At 40.1% G+C, this 20,132-nt stretch overlaps 1 protein-coding gene, 1 long non-coding RNA gene and 1 pseudogene across 5 annotated transcripts in view, besides 2 other annotated features; 2 read left to right on the top strand and 1 right to left on the bottom strand.

Moving 5' to 3' along the window:
- RPL23P2 (ribosomal protein L23 pseudogene 2) lies at positions 2,199-2,685 on the top strand (annotated as a pseudogene).
- On the bottom strand, positions 6,060-7,138 carry LOC105372766 (uncharacterized). Of its 2 annotated transcripts, XR_007067835.1 has the most exons (3): positions 7,110-7,138; positions 6,560-6,671; positions 6,060-6,459 (listed from the first exon to the last, which is right to left on the bottom strand). It is a non-coding gene; the product is annotated as an uncharacterized LOC105372766 (long non-coding RNA). The 2 variants fall into 2 exon arrangements; XR_007067834.1 differs by having other exon boundaries at positions 6,560-7,138.
- Positions 7,080-7,139: an enhancer, noted in NCBI's record as "active region_18325". NCBI's record gives its function as "activates an Ori minimal core promoter by ATAC-STARR-seq in GM12878 lymphoblastoid cells {active_cell/tissue: GM12878}" and the evidence as "EXISTENCE:reporter gene assay evidence [ECO:0000049][PMID:35858748]".
- Positions 7,364-20,132, top strand: part of LTN1 (listerin E3 ubiquitin protein ligase 1) — a 64,734-nt gene continuing 51,965 nt past the window's right edge. For 2 of the 3 annotated variants that reach the window (NM_001320766.2, NM_015565.3), the window contains exons 1-6: positions 7,364-7,477; positions 13,307-13,510; positions 14,004-14,102; positions 15,319-15,549; positions 17,873-17,925; positions 18,942-19,122. In NM_001320766.2, the coding sequence (NP_001307695.2) occupies positions 7,436-7,477; positions 13,307-13,510; positions 14,004-14,102; positions 15,319-15,549; positions 17,873-17,925; positions 18,942-19,122 (810 nt within the window). In that variant the 5' untranslated portion in view covers positions 7,364-7,435. Of the gene's footprint in view, positions 7,478-13,306; positions 13,511-14,003; positions 14,103-15,318; positions 15,550-17,872; positions 17,926-18,941; positions 19,123-20,132 lie in introns of those variants that run through there. The other variant, XM_047440741.1, reaches the window with a different exon arrangement.
- Positions 7,450-7,559: an enhancer, noted in NCBI's record as "active region_18324". NCBI's record gives its function as "activates an Ori minimal core promoter by ATAC-STARR-seq in GM12878 lymphoblastoid cells {active_cell/tissue: GM12878}" and the evidence as "EXISTENCE:reporter gene assay evidence [ECO:0000049][PMID:35858748]".

Genomic DNA, 20,132 nt, shown 5'->3' with positions numbered 1-20,132 from the left:
CCACCCGGAACTCACGCTGGTCCGCAAGCACCGCGCGCAGCCCGGGTTCCCGCCTGCGCCTCTCCCTCCACACCTCCCCGCAAGCTGAGGGAGCGGGCTCCGGCCTTGGCCAGCCCAGAAAGGGGCTCCCACAGTGCAGCGGCGGGCTGAAGGGCTCCACAAGTGCTGCCAAAGTGGGACCCCAGGCAGAGGAGGCGCCGAGAGCGAGCCAGGGCTGTGAGGACTGCCAGCACGCTGTCACCTCTCACTGTGAAATTGGAGGAAAACTCATCTGTTGAAGTCAAGGAGGAAGGTAGAATGATCAGAGTTTTGAAGAAGTGTTCAAATAATTAATTGCTGGGAGTCCTAAGACATTACGGAAGTATGGTACATTTGTTGGGCTGTATTGAAGACACAACTAAGGTATGGGATAATTAATTCTTAGTGGTCTAAAGCTTGTGTTGACTAAATTGTTTGTTTTCCAGGTAGTGTTCAACTTTTCTCTGGAAAAAAAAAAGCTGAAAACAAATAATTGGCTTTGTGTAGTGTTTGGTTTCTCCAGATGAATAGGCTGAAAGAGCAGATGTACAAGAGACTTCGTGGTATTGGCAAGAGAGTGATTGACACAAAAGATCATGAACTCTAAAGTGAACAATGAAGAGAGTAAAGAGAAAAGAGTCCTTAAAGTTAGCGAGAAAATATAAGGGCCAATGCAAGGTTAAGATTTCCTTGAAGAATGTCTAGGTGGAAACAGTTAAATGAGGAATCTGGCAAGAGAGATTGTGACCCAAGAGTGGGGTGAAATTGGGAAAATTTAAGTATTAATATCAGGATGTGACTGTGGTGTGGTAGATGAAGTGGAATGGAGGAAAAGGATATGAGAGATGAAGATTTTTATAACTGAGAGGCCAAGCAATGGACAGATATGCCACATGAACCTAATTAGGACTTTAAAAAGACCATCCAGGATGATGTTTGGAATGAGGGTGGAGAGCCAAGTGCTAAGTCTTTAGAGACTAAAAGGGAGTGACCAGGAGGCTGGTAAGAGGACAGATGTCAGAAGGTGTATTCTGTTGACAGCAGCCCAAAAACAATGATTTATTGTTTTAAGGAAAGTGGAAGCAAAGAAGATCCTATTCTTATCTGCAGACCCCTGAGGTAGGTAGGATTTTAGACAATAAACAGCACTCATGAGAGGCTGCTATGGAAGCACTGTCATTAGCCAAACTGTAAACACGTGTTGAGGGTGAATATTGGCTCATCACCGAAGCTGCAATTCCAAAGAATATGTGGGAAGAAAGGGCTTTGTAGGGCACATAGGAGTAGGGGTTAGACCAGCAAGAAAGGACACAGTTTTTTTTTGTTTGTTTGTTTTTTTGAGAGGGAGTCTCGCTCTGTCGCCCAGGCTGGAGTGCAGTGGTGCGATCTCGGCTCACTGCAAGCTCCACCTCCCGGGTTCACACCATTCTTCTGCCTCAGCCTCCGGAGTAGCTGGGACTACAGGCGTCCACCACCACGCCCGGCTAATTTTTTGTATTTTTAGTAGAGACGGGGTTTCACCGTGTTAGCCAGGATGGTCTTGATCTCCTGACCTCGTGATCCACCCGCCTCGGCCTCCCAAAGTGCTGGGATTACAGGCATGAGCCACCGTGGAAAGGACACAGTTTTATGTGGTAAGGAAATAATATATACATGTGTCTGTATCTCCTTCCTGCCTTCTTGACTTCCTGAGTCCAGACTCAGTATTACAGTTTCCTTCTAGATTCCGGAAGTCTGTTTTTCATCAGTTTTAATTTTAGTTGTGTTGTTTTTGTCGTCTTCAATGTTTTCATCAATTTTTTTGTGTGTATGTGAATTTGAGAGGGGCTGCTAGCAGATGCTATTTTGAACTGGAAATTCACCTATATATTCCTCTAGTACTATTATGGTTATTTTCTTTTCTTTTAAATCCCTCTGATATAGTTTGGACATTTGTCCCCACCCCAATCTCATGTTGAATTGTGATGAGTTACAGCTGGTATATACTGAAATTATTCTTATTGTACATTTATTTTGTAGTGTTAGCAAACTATTATATCTTATTTTCTCAATTGACTCTCTACAGATCTCAGTTGACAAACAAATGCTCTGCTGGCATATATTACCTATGTAGTGTTGCTGCTATTTAAATAAGAAGTTTGCTTAAAAAGAATTTAAAAATACTTTTTTCCTTCTTTCCAGCGTTCAAGATGTCAAAGCGAGGACGTGGTAGGTCCTCTGGTGTGAAATTCTGGATTTCCTTGGGTCTTCCAGTAGGAGCTGTGATCAACTGCTGACAACACAGGAGCCAAAAACCTGTATATCATCTCCGTGAAGGGGATCAAGGGACAGCGGAACAGACTTTCTGCTGCTAGTGTGGGTGACATGGTGATGGCCACAGTCAAGAAGGGCAAACCAGAGCTCAGAAAAATGGTACATCCAGCAGCGGTCATTAGACAACCAAAGTCATACCGGAGAAAAGATGGTGTGTTTCTTTATTCCGAAGATAATGCAGGGGTCATAGTGAATAATAAAGGCAAAATGAAAGGTTCTGCCATTATAGGACCAGTAGCAAAGGAGTATGCAGACTTGTGGCCCTGGATTGTGTCCAATGCTCGCAGCATTGCATGATTTTCCAGTAGATTAAAAAGAAAAAGAAAAACTTTAAACCCATTAAAAAGTATTTGTACCCCCCCCCAAAAAAATACATCTTAATAACAGTTGAAGGTAAAGTACCACCAAGTTTAATAAAGATTAATTAATGCTGAGTTGTTTTGTTTTGTTTTGAGACGGAGTCTCGCTCTGTTGCCCAGGCTAGAGTGCAGTGGCACGATCTCGGCTCACTGCAAGGTCTGCCTCCTGGGTTCATGCCATTCTCCTGCCTCAGTCTCCCAAGTAGCTGGGACTACAGGCGCCCACTACCATGTCCAGCTAATTTTTTGTATTTTTAGTAGAGATGGGGTTTCACCATGTTAGCCAGGATGGTCTAGATCTCCTGACCTCATGATTCACCCGCCTCGGCCTCCCAAAGTGCTGGGATTACAGGTGTGAGCCACCTGGCCCAGCCGAAATATATTTTTAAGTGCTTGATGTCTGATTTTCCTCCTCAGAAACTTGTCTGGATGGGTAAGATTATTTTAACATCAGACTTCTGTAAGGCATGCCCAATATTTACTTAGGGAAAAAAGGCTATAATTCTGATGTGTAACTCTTAATCTGTGAAAACAAGAATTTATAATATTAATAATTATGAATGAAGAAGGGAGGGTTTCAAGTCTCTTTTTTTTTTTTTTTTTAACTCCCAACCTGGTTTCTGAAGAGTTTCTAATCTTGGCCTTAAAAGTATTGACATTTCTTTTTTCTTTTTTTCTTTTGAGACAGAGTCTTGCTCTGTTGCCCAGGCTGGAGTGCAGTGGTGTGACCTCAGCTCAGTGCAACCTCTGCATCGTGGGTTCAAGTGATTCTCCTGTCTCAGACTCCTGAGTATGTAGGATTACAGGCACGCACCACCACGCCTGGCTAATTTTTGTATTTTTGGTAGAGACAAGTTTTCACCATGTTGGCCAGGCTGGTCTCGAGCTCCTGACTTGAGGTAATCCTCCTGGCTTGGCCTCCCAAAGCATTGGGATTACAGGCGTGAGCCACTGCACCCAGCCGACATTTCTTGACATAAACATTAACATTTTGACAAAAATTAAACATTATTTTTAATGTTCTTCTGTCCAAACCTTTTCTGCCTATCACCTACTGTATTGATAGAAACAATTATTTTCTGATTTCTAAAACCTTGTATGAATCAATTAAAACAAATTTGCGGGTATCTACTTTGGCAGGCACTGTTTAAGAGTACCATGGAGATAGCCTCACCTTCAAAGGATTTACAGACTTGCTGGAAAATCTAAACATGAGAAACTGTTAAATCAATGAGACTATTTTCAAGTTCCCAAAGCAGTAATATCCTACTGACTTCTGGGTAAAAAAATAAACCAGTTATAAGTTGATGTCCTAGGAAAATCGAAGAGAGATCTGTGTGGCCTGGAGTAGTTGAGGAACATGGCAAGAGGCATGGATCCCTGTTGCAAAAGGTGGAAAGTCTCGTCAGAATACAAGGAAATGAAATGAAGAGATATTTCCAGCAAGAACAGACAAAATTTAGGAAACAATTAGTAAATAGGAGCACAGAAAATCATTCCAGTCTTGTCCTTCAAGTTTTTTTTTTTTTTTTCCCCCTGGGTAAGTCTGCACTGAAGTTAGGCTAGATTCTTGACTGTCCTTTCCGAAATCCATGCTAATCCAACTCACTGTCTCTGTCCCTCTCTCGTCCCCATTTTGAATGTTCTCCCTTTTATTTTACTTTTCCTAATGTTTTCCAAGCTTTGGGCTTTGGCTTGGAAAGCCTATCTGACTACTCAAGCACATGTTAATCTTCCCCTTCTGTAGCATTTTTGATATGTGACACCCACATTTTCAGTGAATGGCATGATATCTAGTAGTGTTTCCAATGTGTTAAACTGTTTGCAGCTATATTGTATAACTCTCAAGAATGAGGACACTACAATTTGTATAACCAATGTACCATGATATATGTAACCAATGATTTATTTTAAACAAACAATATTTGTTGAGTTGATTTTTTTTTTTTTTTTTTGAGACGGAGTCTTGTTCTGTTGCCCAGGCTGGGGTGCAGTGGCGCGATCTTGGCTCACTGCAACCTCTGCCTCCTGGGTTCAAGCAATTCTCCTGCCTCAGCCTCCCACATAGCTGGGGTTACAGGTGCGTGCCACCGTGCCTAGCTAGTTTTTGTATTTTTGGTAGAGACGAGGTTTCACCATCGTGGCCAGGCTGGTCTTGAATTCCTGATCTCAGGTGATCCACCCACCTTGGCTTCCCAAAGTGCTGGGATTATAGGCATCGGTCACTGCACCCAGCCTGAGTTGATTTTTAATTACATAATTAATACATGAAGATGTTGTCCTTGTATAAAATAAAATCTTACAGATAAGGCTTAATTTCCTTTGACTATAACTCTTAACCCTAATGTCTTTTCTTGCCACTTTTTCCCACAAAAAGTCACTACAATGATCAGACTGGTATGTATTCTTGCAGATCTTTATTTTATTATTATTTTTTTTTGAGACGGAGTCTCACTTTGTCACCCAGGCTGAAGTGCAGAGGCGCGATCTTGGCTCACTGCAACCTCCACCTCCTGGGTTCAAGCAATTCTCCTGCCTCAGCCTCCCTAGTAGCTGGGATTACGGCTGCCTGCCACCATGCCCAGCTAATTTTTGTATTTTAGTAGCAACGGCGTTTCACCATGTTGGTCAGGCTTGTCTCAAACTCCTGACCTCAAGCAATCCACCCACCTCGGCCTCCCCAAGTGTTGGGATTACAGGCGTGAGCCACCGCACCCGGCCTATTCTCTGTATTTATATTATATATATATGCATAAATATATATATATATATATTATTGTGTTGTGGGTTTTAAAAACACAAATGGTATCATACTGTATATATTGGTATTTGCTTTTTATTTAAGAATGTGTCTTAGAATTCTTCCTATGTGTGTTCAGATAAACCTTATTCTTCTTAAATGTTGCCTAATAGCTTATTGAATACATATAATTTATTTAGCAGTTCTCCAATATATAGACATAGGTTGCTTACAATTATCTTTCTATTATAAAGTTTTTGTGAACCTCCTGTAATATGTCTCTTTGTGTGACTTTTTTCTGAGACAGTCTGCTCTGTCACCCAGGCTGGAGTGCAGTGGCATGATCTTGGCTTACTGCAACCTTCGCCTCCCGGGTTCAAGAGATTCTCGTGCCTCAGCCTTCCAAGTAGCTGGGATTGCAGGCACCTGCCACCACTGCCCAGCTAATTTTCGTATTTTTAGTAGCGATGGGTTTTTGCCATGTTGGCCAGGCTGGTCTCGAACTCCTGACTTCAGGTGATCCACCTGCCTCGGCCTCCCACAGTGGTGGGATTACAGGCATAAGCCACTGCACCTGGCTTTTGTGTGCATTTTAAAATCAGGGTCCAGTCAGGAAAACAGAAATCACATTAGTTATTGAGAAATATTTTAATATGGGAAATTGGTCAAAAGGAATTATAAAAGGTAACAGGTAATCACTGCAGGTAGCAGCTACCATTCCTAGAGCTAGGAAAGGATGGAACAAAAGAAGTGGTTGGAGTCATCAGAACCTAAAAGCTTGAAGGAGGGCCCTGAACACCTTAGTTCAGGCCTATGAAGAATGAAGAGAGGGTGATGGCTGGCTGTTACTGGATCTCTGGAGCACAAAGAAGGGATCCCACGGTGTTGAGGCTCAAACTTCTGAGGAGGTGGCTCAAACATTGGCTATCTCAGGAGCTCAGGGGAGGGGCCGCATGAAAGTAGAATTCAGATCTCTGAGGAGAGCACTGACTGCTGCTGTGATCTCTGAGGGGTGCAATAAGGCTGATTCTGTGATTGTTGGAAAAAGGATAGAGATTAAAACCACCTTTTGGCTAAAGCAATTGCTCCTGCCACGGTAAAATGCAGCTGCTGCTGGCATGATGCTTACAGAATGGAGCAAGTCCCTTCTTCCTCTTGCCTTTGTTTCCCTCTTGTTCGTCCTGTTGGTGGAATCTAGCAGAAGCCCCCCCAGTAACATGGAGTTGAGTATAAAAGGGTGACTGCGTGGACAAGAAACAATAACCAGCACACATTTACTTGTTTCTCTGGTGTGATTCTGAGTCGCACAATCAATGGGTTACAGGATTTGTACATTTCAAATTTTAATAGGGACTCCCACATTATCCTCTTTCCTAAACTGCACGTTAACAGTTTCAATATGAATAAAAGGGGACGGGGAGGGGAGATTTAGAGAGAATAGTGCCTACAGCAGTAATCAAATTTTAACAAGACTTGGGAATACTGTCAAAATGCAGGATCTGATTCAGGAGTTCTGAGGGGCCCGAGTTGGCCTTTTCTAAAAAACGCCCAGGTGATACTGATGATTGCATCATGTTGGAAGTCTAAAACACTCCCATCTTCCCACAGCCTCTACCATAACATTCTAATGCTACCCTTATGTGAAACTGCCCCTCTGATGATTCACGCCAGTTTCCTACCCTCTAAGCAAGGAACAAACCTAGCTTCTGAAAGCGGGGAGGACAGGATTTGGCGCCACGGGTCCAATGCTTGGCTTCCTATTGGCCAGGAATGACATCACTCAGACAGGCGTGGCTTTAGCTGTGACGTCTCCGGTGGCGGATGGTCAGGGACACAGCGGGAGGCGGGAGCGGAAGTGGGGCAGCAAATGGACAGGGTGGGTGGCGGAAAAGGGCCCGGGGGAAGTTATTACAGGGTGTCCTCTTCCGCCGCCAGAAGCCGGAAGTTGTGTCCCGGACGTGTCAACCGGGGTCTGAGTGCTCAGAGTACAGCTGCAACCGCGACCATGGGCGGGAAGAACAAGCAGCGAACTAAAGGGAACCTGAGGGTGAGCGGGGGCTGGCTCGGCCGACCCGGGAGCCTCGCTTCGAGGCGGCTGGCTCCGCCCAGCGCGTTGCTGGAGGGTGTGTGGAGCGCGGCTGTAGGGAGGCGTGTGTTTCCCTGTCGAGTGTGACCTCTCTGTTGTGTGTGCGTCCCTGAGAGCGGTTTGTGTTATCTCTGAGCAGATTGGGGAATCGTGAGAGAAAAGATGTACCATGCCAGAGCTGTCCTCATCCGAGCACACACCCATAATATTCATGAAGAAATGATAATGTGTCAGGTTCACTGGAAGGTGATCTGGCCGAGGTAGCGGGTTGGTTGGGGGAGGGCGGCGCTGGGAAGAAGGAGAGTTGGGAGAATGTTAAAGTGAATCCACTGTGGAGGTTACCGCAGATTGTGCCTCTCCTTTGCTACCTACAGTGGCTTCTCCTAAGCTAAAGCTCTTAGGATGGTATATTTGGTTTCTGGACTGCCTGTTACCCCTTTCCATCTGCAGTCCCATCTTCAGCTCCCTCCTCTTGGCTTACTTCATCCAGCCACACTGATCTCTTCACTGTGCCTTGACTACCTGGCCGGCTCCCAACGCTCTTCAGTTAGGTGGCTCCAAACTTTGCTCTCGACACCTCAGTGAGGTCTCCCATGATCACCCTCTTGGTAGCCCTTCCCCACTCCCATGTTCTTCCTACTTTATTTTACTCCATTGTATTTATGACATTTATTGTCTTGGTTCACTAGGACGTAAGTATTTTGAAAGCAAATGTTTTTATCCTCGGAACCTAGAACAGACTGGCACCTAATAGACGCTCACTAAGTACTTGCTTAAGGACGACCTTAAAGTGGATTCGTGTAAAACTACACGATGAGGGGTTTTGTAATGGTATTTTTTTATGGTGTTAGATTTATTATAGCACAGTCCAATTTTATGAGAATGCTTTTTTTTCCTGTTTCTGATGTAGTTAATTCTAGTGATTTCAATGTCACATTTTCTTAGATCTGTCACTTAATCTGTTTTGGAAGATAATAACAGTATTAACAATTATAGCAACCTGTTGTGTTACTGTGCTAAGCACTTTACTTGCATCTTTTAATGTTTTTTATTTAACAGATTTTCTCAAATGTTTTATATTTGAAAAGTTCTTATGAGGAAAAGTTGCAAGAATATTAGAACGACATCCCATATACTCTTTACCTACATTTACCAATTGCTAATACTTGGTTGCATTTGCTTTCTCTCTCTTAATTTATGTATTTTTCTGAACTTATAAGAGTTAGTTGCAGAAGTCGGGACTCTTAACTCCTAAATACATCAGCATGTATCTTCTAAAAACAATGCCATTTTCTAGCCTGCAGCAATTATAATAATGGTTATAGTATGCAGAAACTTTGACTTTTGTATAATACTGTAATCCAGGATACAGCCTTGTATTTAGACTTCTGTAGTTATCCCAATAATGTTCTCTTTTTTCTTTTTTTTTTTTTTGTAAGACAGGGTCGCTCTGTCTCCAAACCTGGAGTGTGGTGGTATGATCATGGCCCACTGCAGTGTCAACCTCTTGGGCTCAAGCGGTCAGTCCTCCCACCTCAGCCTCCTTAGTAGCTAGGACTCCTGGCTAATCTTTTTTTTTTTTTTTTCGGGGACAGAGTCTGGCTCTGTTACCCAGGCTGGAGTGCAGAGGCGTGAACTTGGCTCACTGCAATCTCCGCCTCTCGGGTTCAAGTGATCCTCCCAGCTTAGCCTTTCCAGTAGCTAGGACTACAGGTACAGGCCATCACGGCTAGCTTATTTTTGTAGGGACAGAGTTTTGCCATGTTGCCCAGGCTGGGACTTTTTTAAAAAGATAAACCGTTTTAACATCTGAGATTCAGTCAAGGATCACTCATTCCATTTAGTTACCATTTGGGTTTCTTTGATCTAGACAGTTTCTCAGTACTGTTTAAGCGGGGAGAGGAGTGTCTTTTTTAACAAAATTTGGAAGAGCCTGGGCCATTTGTTTGATTAATTCAGATTCATCTAGTTTTTTCCTTATGATTAGATTCAGGCTAAACAATTTTTAGAAGGAATTCTTCATAGATGATGAGTCTTTCTCAGTGCATCACACACCAGGGGCACTTCGCACCTGTTTGTCCCCTTATTGGTGGTATTTGTTTAATTACTTGGTTAAGGTGTTGTTCATTATAAAGTTATATTTTTCCATTGGCCAATAACAAATAATATGTTAGTTTGAAACTGTGAATGTCCTGCTCTTCCACAAACTTTCACCTAATGGTTTGAGCACCCTTTGATTCTTGCTGGAATCAGTTATTACTATGGTGATTTAAAAACTTATGCTTAATCATGAAAACAACCCAACTAATGAATTAATTACTCATATCTCATTTTAAATGTGGTGAAACTGAGGTTTAGAGAAATTAGCTTGCCTAAGCTCATGTAGCCAGGAAGTTGTGGAGTTGGGATTTTAACTTTAATGTGGCAAAGTCTTCAATAGAAGACTCTGATACTGGATGTCAGGTATTCAGAGATAATAGATGTCTGCTGTTCTTGAACTATTAGTTTGATGATACAGACACATATGTAAGCAAATGTTAAAGAATTATGATGCAGGTATTAGAAGAAAGAATGTGGGAGAATGGAAGAGAATGGAGGAAGGCAAGTGTTGCAAACATGAGTTTGAAAGATGAGTAGGAGTTTGTCAGACAGTGAAAAGAAAGGAAGCGTTTTCAGGTAGAGAAAAAAGGTTATATAAAGATCAAATTGTGAAAGGCCATCACATAGATAACTTTTTTTTTTTTTTTGAGACAGAGTCTCGGGTCACTGCAACCTCCACCTCCCAGGTTCAAGCAGTTTTGTTGCCTCAGCCTCTCGAGTAGCTGGGATTACAGGCATGCACCATCACACCCGGCTAATTTTTTGTATTTTTAATAGATACAGGGTTTTGCCATGTTGGCTAGGCTGGTCTCAAACTCTTGGCCTGAAGTGATCTGCCCAAAGATACGCTCAGCCTCCTAAAGTGCTGGGATTACAGGTGTGAGCCACCATGCCCTGCCTCAGAGAACTTCGAATTCAGTTTGCTACTAGGGCATGAATGATGGCAGCATAATTTGAAGAAGGGAGAAGGAAGTGGGGCAAGGGAAGGAAAGAGTGGCAGGAGATAAGACTGGGAAAAGTTGAGGTTAGATGGTGAAAGGTCTTGTAAGTCTTCCTTGGTTTGGTCTTTGTAGACTCAGGATTGCCACCACAAATAACTCTAGAAGCTAGGCATGAAAGAGTGTAGACAGAAGTAGGCATAGTACAAAAAAAAAAATAAGTGCCATAAATAGAATTGTTTCTTAATTTTTATTGAACTATGGGTATAGCACTTAACATACAAAGATCATAAGAGTAACTATATTTTAAATTTAAAGTAGACATTAAAAAAAGATAGTGCATTTAAAAGTAACTTGTTACTTTTAAATTGGAGACTGGAAATTTGATACCTTCTCTTTTGCCCCTAGTTATCACTCCTAATTCTGTTATTTCAGCCTCAACTCCTTTAGATGTTAGCAATAATTAGTTTTTTATTCTGTTTCATAATAAAACCGTTTACACATGAGATTGTAGAAAATTCTGATACCCTAAAGTCATCATATTTAGTTTAAGAATTATAATTCACTAACTACTTCCTTTGTGGCTCTTTATTCATGTACCAATATTGAGAAAGGTGAATTGAATAATTAATATTAATTCATTTTAATAAACTTAAAAAATAGAGAACAGCTGCTTTGCCTATGGAGTAGCCATTCTTTTATTCTTTTCTTTTTTTTTTTTGAAATGGAGTTTCGCTCTTTTTGCCCAGGCTGGAGTGCAATGGCGCAATCTCGACTCACTGCAATCTCTGCCCCCTGGGTTCAAGCAATTCTCCTGCCTCAGCCTCCCAAGTAGCTGGGATTAAAGGCATGTGCCACCATGCCTGGCTAATTTTGTATTTTTAGTAGAGACGGCGTTTCACCATGTTGGCCAGGCTGGTCTTGAACTCCTGATCTCAGGTGATCTCCCTCCTCAGCCTCCCGAAGTGCTGGGATTACAGACGTGAACCACCGCGCCTGACCTATTTTCTTAATAAACTTACTTTCACTTAAAAAAAAAAATAGAGAACCTTTTTTGGAATTAGTCTTAAATGCTACAGATTGAAAACAAATGTAATGCAGGCCATCATTTTCTTTCCTGTTCACTCAGTTCAGTTTAGGAAGTAGGCCAGATTATTCCTTGTCAGATGAATTTTCCAAACACACTTTTGCTAGGTATTAGGAATTTTTTTTTTTTTTTTGAGACAGAGCCTCGCTCTGTTGCCCTGGGTGGAGTGCAGTAGCACAATCTTGACTCACTGCAACCTCAGCCTCCCAGGTTCAAGCAATTCTCATGACTCACCCTCCTGAGTAGGTGGGATTACAGGCACATGCCACCACGCCTGGCTAATTTTTGTGTTTTTGGTAGAGACAGGGTTTTGCCATGTTGCCGAGGCTGGTTTCGAACTTCAGGGCTCAAGTGATCCACCCGCCTTGACCTCCCAAAGTGTTGGGATTACAGGCATGAGCCACCTTGCCTGGCCGGTATGAGCAATTTGTTTTTTTTTGTTGTTTTTTTTTTTTTTTGAGACAGAGTCTCGCCCTGTCACCCAGGCTGGAGTGCAATGGCACAATCTTGGCTCATTGCAACCTCTGCCTTCCGGTTCAAGCGATTCTCTTGCCTCAGCCTCCCGAGTAGCTGGGATTACAGGCGTGCGCCACCACGCCCAGTTAATTTTTTGTATCTTTGGTAGAGATGGGGTTTCACCATGTTGGCCAGGCTGGTCTCGAACTCCTGACCTCGTGATCTGCCCGCCTTGGCCTTCCAAAGTGCTGAGATTACAGGCGTGAGCCACTGTGCCCGGCCGGTATGAGCAATTTGAATCACACATTTGGATAACCGTTGGCAAACATCCTTATAGAGAAATAAGAAATAGATGACTTTAGATGGGTTGTGATGTCAGCTTGGTGGTCAAACTGAAGCATTTTCTGTTTAGATAACAATAAGTTAATTTCTTTTAGCAGTTCAAATATTTTCTTTCTCTGTATCAACTCACCTCCTTTTAGTAGAAGACTACTATATTGTGTATCAGTCAAAGAAACCACTGACTATGATTCAAAACAAAGGAGTCTGTATTATAGATTGACTGTTGTATTGATTTTTATGGCTATAATAATGTAATTTTAGCCCAAAGAGGTTAGGCTAGGCTTTGGAGTGTGTGGAAATGAGTGTATCCACTCTCAAGGAACTCTCAGTCTAGAGGCAGCTATCATTAGACCTGGGCCATTGTGATTGTTTAATAAATATTTGTTCATTTAATGGGTGAATGAAAGGATGGGTTCTATTTATGAGTTCATTTTACATCATTACATAGTATACATATGTGTATACATACTATTTATATGAAAGTTAGAAATAAAAAATTCATAACAGCATTTATGAAAATTTTCCTGCATGTGATACATTCTGATTTTAAAAATTTTAATCAATTTCTTTAAAATTCTGTCATGGTCCATTATATTGATATCATGAGCCACTAATGGATTGTATCCATGGTTTACAAAACATTCTAATGTTTAAGAAACAGAATAATTTCTAGGATCAGTATTGATGGATTCTTGGCAACAAAACCATTAATCTTTGGGGAACTTTGCAATAGATGAAATTTTAGGCTAGGAAAAAAGAAAATAAAATAAAAGCTCATTCTGACCATGGGAATAGCCAAGGAATTATAAAGTTAAGTTTTGAACCCTTCCTGGACTCTGACTTTTTTCTCCGTAATTTTCTTATCAGCCTTCAAACAGTGGCCGAGCTGCAGAACTCCTTGCCAAAGAACAGGGAACAGTGCCTGGATTTATTGGTTTTGGAACATCTCAGAGTGACCTAGGCTATGTTCCTGCTATTCAAGGAGCTGAAGAAATTGACAGTCTTGTAGATTCTGATTTCCGAATGGTGCTGCGGAAACTTTCAAAGAAAGATGTCACCACAAAATTAAAAGCAAGTTTTCTTGTTTTCATAAAAATTATCAAGAAAATCCCTTTGTTAAAATAAAATGTCATTAGCATGTTTTATGTAAAGAAAAATGAACAATTTATTGCTAAGTTCTTTTATAATTGTACTTTTTTCTGACACAGAGTCTTAAACTTAGTTGATATTTATTTTCTAGGTCGTAAATTAGTTTGTTACAGTGAACTTTTTTAAAGTGCTTTGGAATTTTGGCTGTATAGTTTTTCCCATTAGGGAATGTAACTTTGACCTTGTAACTTTAAATGAGGTTTTTTTGTTTGTAGATGTTTTATTTTTAAAAAAACAACTGAAGAGTTTCTACCGTAGTAGCCTGTGAAAGAGCTCTTCAAACTAGTCTCATATGGCATAAAGAGAAATAGTGTATTCTCCTATTACATAAAATAGACAAAGCTTCCAGAACAGAATAATCTATAGCCAGTTATTATGGTTGTTAATCCTAATGATGTTAATAACTTACTTTTAGGCTATGCAGGAATTTGGAACCATGTGTACAGAGAGAGACACAGAAACTGTGAAAGGAGTTCTTCCATATTGGCCAAGAATTTTTTGCAAAATTTCACTTGTAAGTATTAAAACTTTGCTAGTTTATTTCTGTTGTATATTTTTTGGTTGGAGTCATGGAGACTCTCAAATTTATAATGTTGATTTTTGGTGAGGGTTATTAAATGTTATGTCAGCATTGTTATGCAGATTGAATTGTTAACACTTGAGAAGAGCGTGGAAATAAAAAAAGAGATTGGGGCCTGGTATGGTGGCTCATGCCTGTAATCCCAGCACTTTGGGAGGCTGAGGTGGGCAGATCACTTGAGGTCAGGAGTTTGAGACCAGCCTGGCCAACATGGTGAAACCCTGTCTCTACTAAAAATACAAAAATTAGCCGGGTGTGGTGATGGATGCCTGTAATCCCAGCTACTTGGGAGGCTGAGGCAGGAAAATCGCTTGAACCCGGTGGGGCGGAGGTTGCAGTGAGCCAAGATTGCACCACTGCACTCCAGCCTGGACAATAGAACAAGACAATGTCTTTAAAAAAAAAAAAAAAAAAGATTGGATTGTGTTGGGTTATGAAGAACATTTAGGAAGTCTGTTTTCAGAAATTAGGTTGTTACTGGAGAATTACCCAGGTGCTTTCCAGTTTTAATAAATTTTGATAGTGATTTTATTCCCTGTATATTTGCTGCAGAAGAATGAGAGTGAGTTGCTTAATTATTGAAGACCCAACTTTTTTTTTTTTTTTTTTAATTGAGACGGAGTCTCATTCTGTCACCCAGGCTGGAGTGCAGTGGCGCGATCTCTGTTCACTGCAACCTTGTCTCCTGGGTTCAAGTGATTCTCCTGCCTTAGCCTCCTGAGTAACTGGGATTACAGGTGTGTGCCACCATGCCCCGCTAATTTTTTGTATTTTTAGTAGAGACGGGGTTTCACCATGTTGGCCAGGCTGGTCTTGAACTCCTGACCGCCAATAATCCGCCTGCCTCGGCCACCGAAAGTACTGAGATTATAGGCACGAGCCACCAGGCTCGGCCTCAAGGCCCAACTTTGAATCTGTCTTGAATACAATCCTATCTCATTGGGAGAAGGGGAGAAAGAAAAATTAATAAATTATTTTACATAGTTTCTGATTTAAAAACCTCCAAATTATTGATTTAAAAAAAATGATTTCAGTTTAGCTTAATACATAGGTGAATTCTTGGTAATGGGTCATTATAGCATATCCGGAAATGTCTGTGATTGTTTTTATGGGCTAGAGCTATTTTAAATCACATTTATATTTTTAATAGGATCATGACCGTCGCGTCCGAGAAGCCACACAACAAGCTTTTGAAAAACTTATCCTTAAAGTAAAGAAACAGTTGGCTCCCTACTTAAAAAGTTTAATGGGATATTGGCTAATGGCTCAGTGTGATACTTACACACCAGCTGCGTTTGCAGCAAAAGATGCATTTGAAGCGGCTTTTCCTCCAAGCAAGCAACCTGAAGCCATAGCATTTTGTAAGGATGAAATTACAAGTGTAAGTTCTGGAATCATTCTGAATCTATTTTTTTTTTTTAAGTATTTAAGGGTTATAAGCATAATGACAGCTCTTTTACTTGGGATTGTAGGGGAATGAGTAAGTAGAGTATTTCCAACTGAAGGTTGCCTTTTTAAAATTCTGTTTAGTTAAATAACCATTTTGGATCTTTAACAAGATTAACATTTTGGATTGGATCTTTCTACAGTATTTAAATTTTCCATTTTAATTTTGAAGTCTTTATTATATTTTTAAAAAGTAGATGTTTTATGTAATCTAAACAAGTAATATATCTAAAAATAAATCTAAAATTATTTTCTCTCGTGTTTCCATATCAATATATATATATATACAGATCTAACTTAGTGTCTTTTTCTTTTTATTGGCTCTCTGGTATTACTATACATGGATGTACTGTAGTTTATTTAACTTTTTAGATTAATATACATTTGGATTTTTTTCCAATTTTTATCATAACAAATGCTATTTCAGTAAACATTCTTGAGTAGATCTCTTCATACCCTTGTGGGAGTGATACTTACTAGAACTTCTAGTAAGCATATGTTGGGCCAAAGAATAAGAACATTAAAATTTTTTATAATGATAAATGGCCCTTCAAAAGGCCAAACAAATTTATACTCCCATTTTCAGATAAAGTTTCTCCACACTGGGCTAACACTTTTGCCATAACTTTCTCATAAAAAGTTACCAGCCATACCTGTTTGTGGCTTTCAGTGTGTCTGTTTCTAGTAGTGTCTCATTTCTTCCCCCTTCATTTTCTATTCCCAATATATGGACTAGAAAAACCAGACAACAAAGTTGTTAGAATTATATTGAGAAATAAAAGTAGATGAAGTAGAAGTGAGGAGGGAATTGATAATTTTTTAAAAAATCTATGCTTGCATTTATTCCCTTATTTAGTACTCCTGTGTTTCCACAACACCCTGTGTATAACCCTACTTAAACATTTCCATCTGACCCTCTCCCCCTGCTTTCCTTCCTCCTTTCAATTAGCCATCCTTCCTGTGGCTCTCCATTACACTTTTAAGTTCAAATTTCTTGTCTTGACATACAAGGCTCTGCATGATCTGGTCCCTGCTTCCCTATCTAATCTCTTCACCCAGCACTCCCCAACACATAACTTGATTGTAGTACCTCATTTAGGTTCTTCCATTCTTCATTTCTCAGGTGTACCAAGCGTGTTTTTCTAGAGAGAGGGTTTGTAGCTTTAATCATATGCTCAAATGGAGTTTTCTAACCCATCTGTAGCATAAGAATCATTGGTTGATTTAAAATGCCAAGTTATAAACGTTACAAGAGTGAAGTGTCATGAGTTTGGACGCTAAGAGCTTTAGGAAATGGATTTTGAGACAACTAGTTTGGCTCTTCATAGGCTTTAGAAAATAAATTTGTTCTTGGCTTTGTCATGGATGGATAACTAATCATTGAACATTGGGTTATTTCTTCCATTTTATTTTCCCTTTAGTTGGCTATGTTACAGTTCATTACAGCTGTTGGCATTGAACTGTCTCCAGTTCCAAACCCATGTATTAGAGAGGAGTTAGGCAAATGAAAATCAAAATGTCAGCATTATAGATAGTATATCATACTGTCTATAAGACATGGGCTCTGGGTCACACCATTGGTTCTAGTCCCACTCTGCCATCAGCTAGCAACTAGGTGTGTGACCTTGGGCAAGTTTCTGTGCCTTCATTTCATAATCTATAAAGCAGGAATTAACTTGTACTTCATGGAGTTCTGAGGATTGATTTAGTTAATGCCTAAAATGTGCTCAAAGCAATACCTGGCACATGCAAAAGCTCAATAAGTGTTAGTTATTGTTATTGCTGATAAAGCAGTTACTGGAACAGTGGACTCCCTTGCACTGCACCCCAGGAGGAAACAGACTTCCGTATATTTGAAAACCTCATACCTTCCTCTGTGATGGAGCAGAGCACAATGTATGGTGTTCTTTGTGGGCAAGCAGGCTTACAGAAAGAGGGGAGAGGAAAGCAGAGCCTAATTTATCTCCCAGATTCACATTCACTTCATTGCTGTGTGAAAGAGAAATGGAGGAACAAGTGGTCAGGAGTATTTATAGGTGCGTGGGGAAGAAGTATCTAAAGCAGCTAACCTTGGGAATTGATAGGAAAAGGAAAATTGGTAAAATTCAAACCTTTCAGTTTTGCTATTTGATTCTGCTCTTAGGTAAGATGATGTTTATGGGGATTTTTAAAAAGTGGATTTTATTTAACTAGGCTCTGTCTGTTCACCATTGACAGTTCAGTAAAACCAAAGGCTTTGGTATTTCCCCCCTTTGTAGGTGCTGCAGGATCATCTTATAAAAGAAACACCTGATACACTCAGTGACCCGCAGTAAGTTGTATTGTTTCATTGTAACTCATGTTAAGGATTTGTTTCACTCATAAGTAATCAGATGATTTCAATGTGACTTTTTGTTTTTGTTTTTTTTTTGAGACAGAGTCTCACTCTGTCACCCAGGCTGGATTGCAGTGGCGCAGTCTCAGCTCACTGCAACCTCCAGCTTCTGGGTTCAAATGATTCTCATGCCTAAGCCTCTCGAGTAGCTGGGATTATAGGCATGCACCACTACACCTGGCTAATTTTTTTGTATTTTTTATAGAGATGGGGTTTCACCATGTTGGTCAAGCTAGTCTCGAACTCACGACCTCAGGTGATCCACCCGCCTCGGCCTCCCGAAGTGTTGGCATTACAAGCATGAGCCACTGGGCCCGGCCCTGTGTGACATTTTTAAAAAGAAGGAATAATATATGTAGAGATGAAAATAACATAATGCTGTATGTGAGATGCTGTATTAAGTGCTTTTACTTGCAAGTTGTCCTGCTATTTAACTTGAATTACCTGGGAGCTACACATTTGGTTGTATTAGAAAGAGATGTTTTTATATGTTTCCTTCTTTACTTTTTGACAGTTGTAGGAGGAAGTATTTTAAGGTCTGGTTGAACATAGTTGAAGAATATAAATAGTTCTGTTGAAAGAGTAGTAAACTATTTTGTTTACTTCTATATTCTAATCAAAGTTTTAAGAGTCCTTGAGGGAAAATAGTCTTAGATGGCTTGATATCCATTCCCTGGGATCACCCTTGTACATGCTACCGAGAGCGGTATACTTTCTCACTTATTGCAAGCCTTGGCTTTTCGTCTACTTTCACCTTGTATTAGTAGTAAAGTATGTGATTAAATTTCTTTGTATGTTTACATTTTGAGGGGCGTTGGCACAGGGGAAATAGAAGATAGAAATAAAGCAACTTTGGTAGATATTTAATGATAAAACATTTTAAATAGAACCACCAGATATATAGTTTGGCTAATTCTAAATTTTTAAATATATTTATTTTGTTTTATATCAAGAACTGTTCCAGAGGAAGAAAGAGAAGCTAAATTCTACCGGGTTGTAACTTGTTCCTTATTGGCATTAAAGAGATTACTTTGCCTTTTACCTGATAATGAGCTTGATTCTCTGGAGGAGAAATTTAAGTCTCTTTTATCACAGAATAAGTTTTGGAAGTATGGAAAACACAGTGTACCTCAGGTATATTAATCTTTTTTATCTTAAGACATTTCTCTGATTCCTTACCCCCATCTTCTTAGTTTATGTTTTATGTTTATTGTTTATACTTAGAACTCTGCAAGCACATCTGTGTGGTAGGCTATTCATTTACTGAATTACCTCTCTTACTAGAATGTTACTCTGTTTTTACTTTTTTATTTAGTTTGGGCCTCAGATTTAGAATTATCAGTATGAATTACCATACTCCTTTGTTCATAGCACCTTAAAATTGGTGTGTGCAAGTCTCTTCTCATTTAATTAATTTATTTTTTCCCTTTTGTCTATCTCTCCATTCTCTACTTTCACTGGCTGACTGGTCTACTATGTTTAATATATGTGCTTTTGTTTGTGCAGTTGATTCTTATCATTCTTAGTAGTTACTTTCTATAAACTCATCATGAATACTGACTTAGTGAATACTGAGGCATTGCCCTTACGGGAAATGCAGGGTTAGGTTCTTGTGAGCTATTCACAGCATTTTTGTCAGTTGATAACTGACATAACCAGTACATAACCTTGTTTTTTTTTTTTGGTAGTTCTTTTTTTTAATTATTATTATTATACTTTAAGTTTTAGGGTACATGTGCACAATGTGCAGGTTAGTTACATATGTATACATGTGCCATGCTGGTGTGCTGCACCCCTTAACTCGTCATTTAGCATTAGGTATATCTCCTAATGCTATCCCTCCCCCCTCCCCCCACCCCACCATAACCTTGTTTTATGTGTGTTTCTGTATAAAGACACCTTTTTTTCATAGCTATTGTTGATTCATTAGCATTGAACTCACGGCCAACAGCACTAAAACTCATGCCTGGATAAAGCGTATCTAACTCATATTTTCTTTGTAAGGCATATCATAGCGTTCTTGTGCCTAGATACAATAGACAGCACTTCAGTGCTGCTGCTTGGAGGCCATTTAAAACATGAAATCACCAATCAAAAGCACAAAAATTTGAAAAAGTACTGTGAAAAGGACACTTGTTTACAGT

The sequence above is a fragment of the Homo sapiens genome, chromosome 21 (genome assembly GCF_000001405.40).
Source record: "Homo sapiens chromosome 21, GRCh38.p14 Primary Assembly".
NCBI lineage: Eukaryota > Metazoa > Chordata > Mammalia > Primates > Hominidae > Homo > Homo sapiens.
Note: the sequence above shows the minus strand (reverse complement) of the source record. Positions and strands in the feature narration are given on the sequence as shown.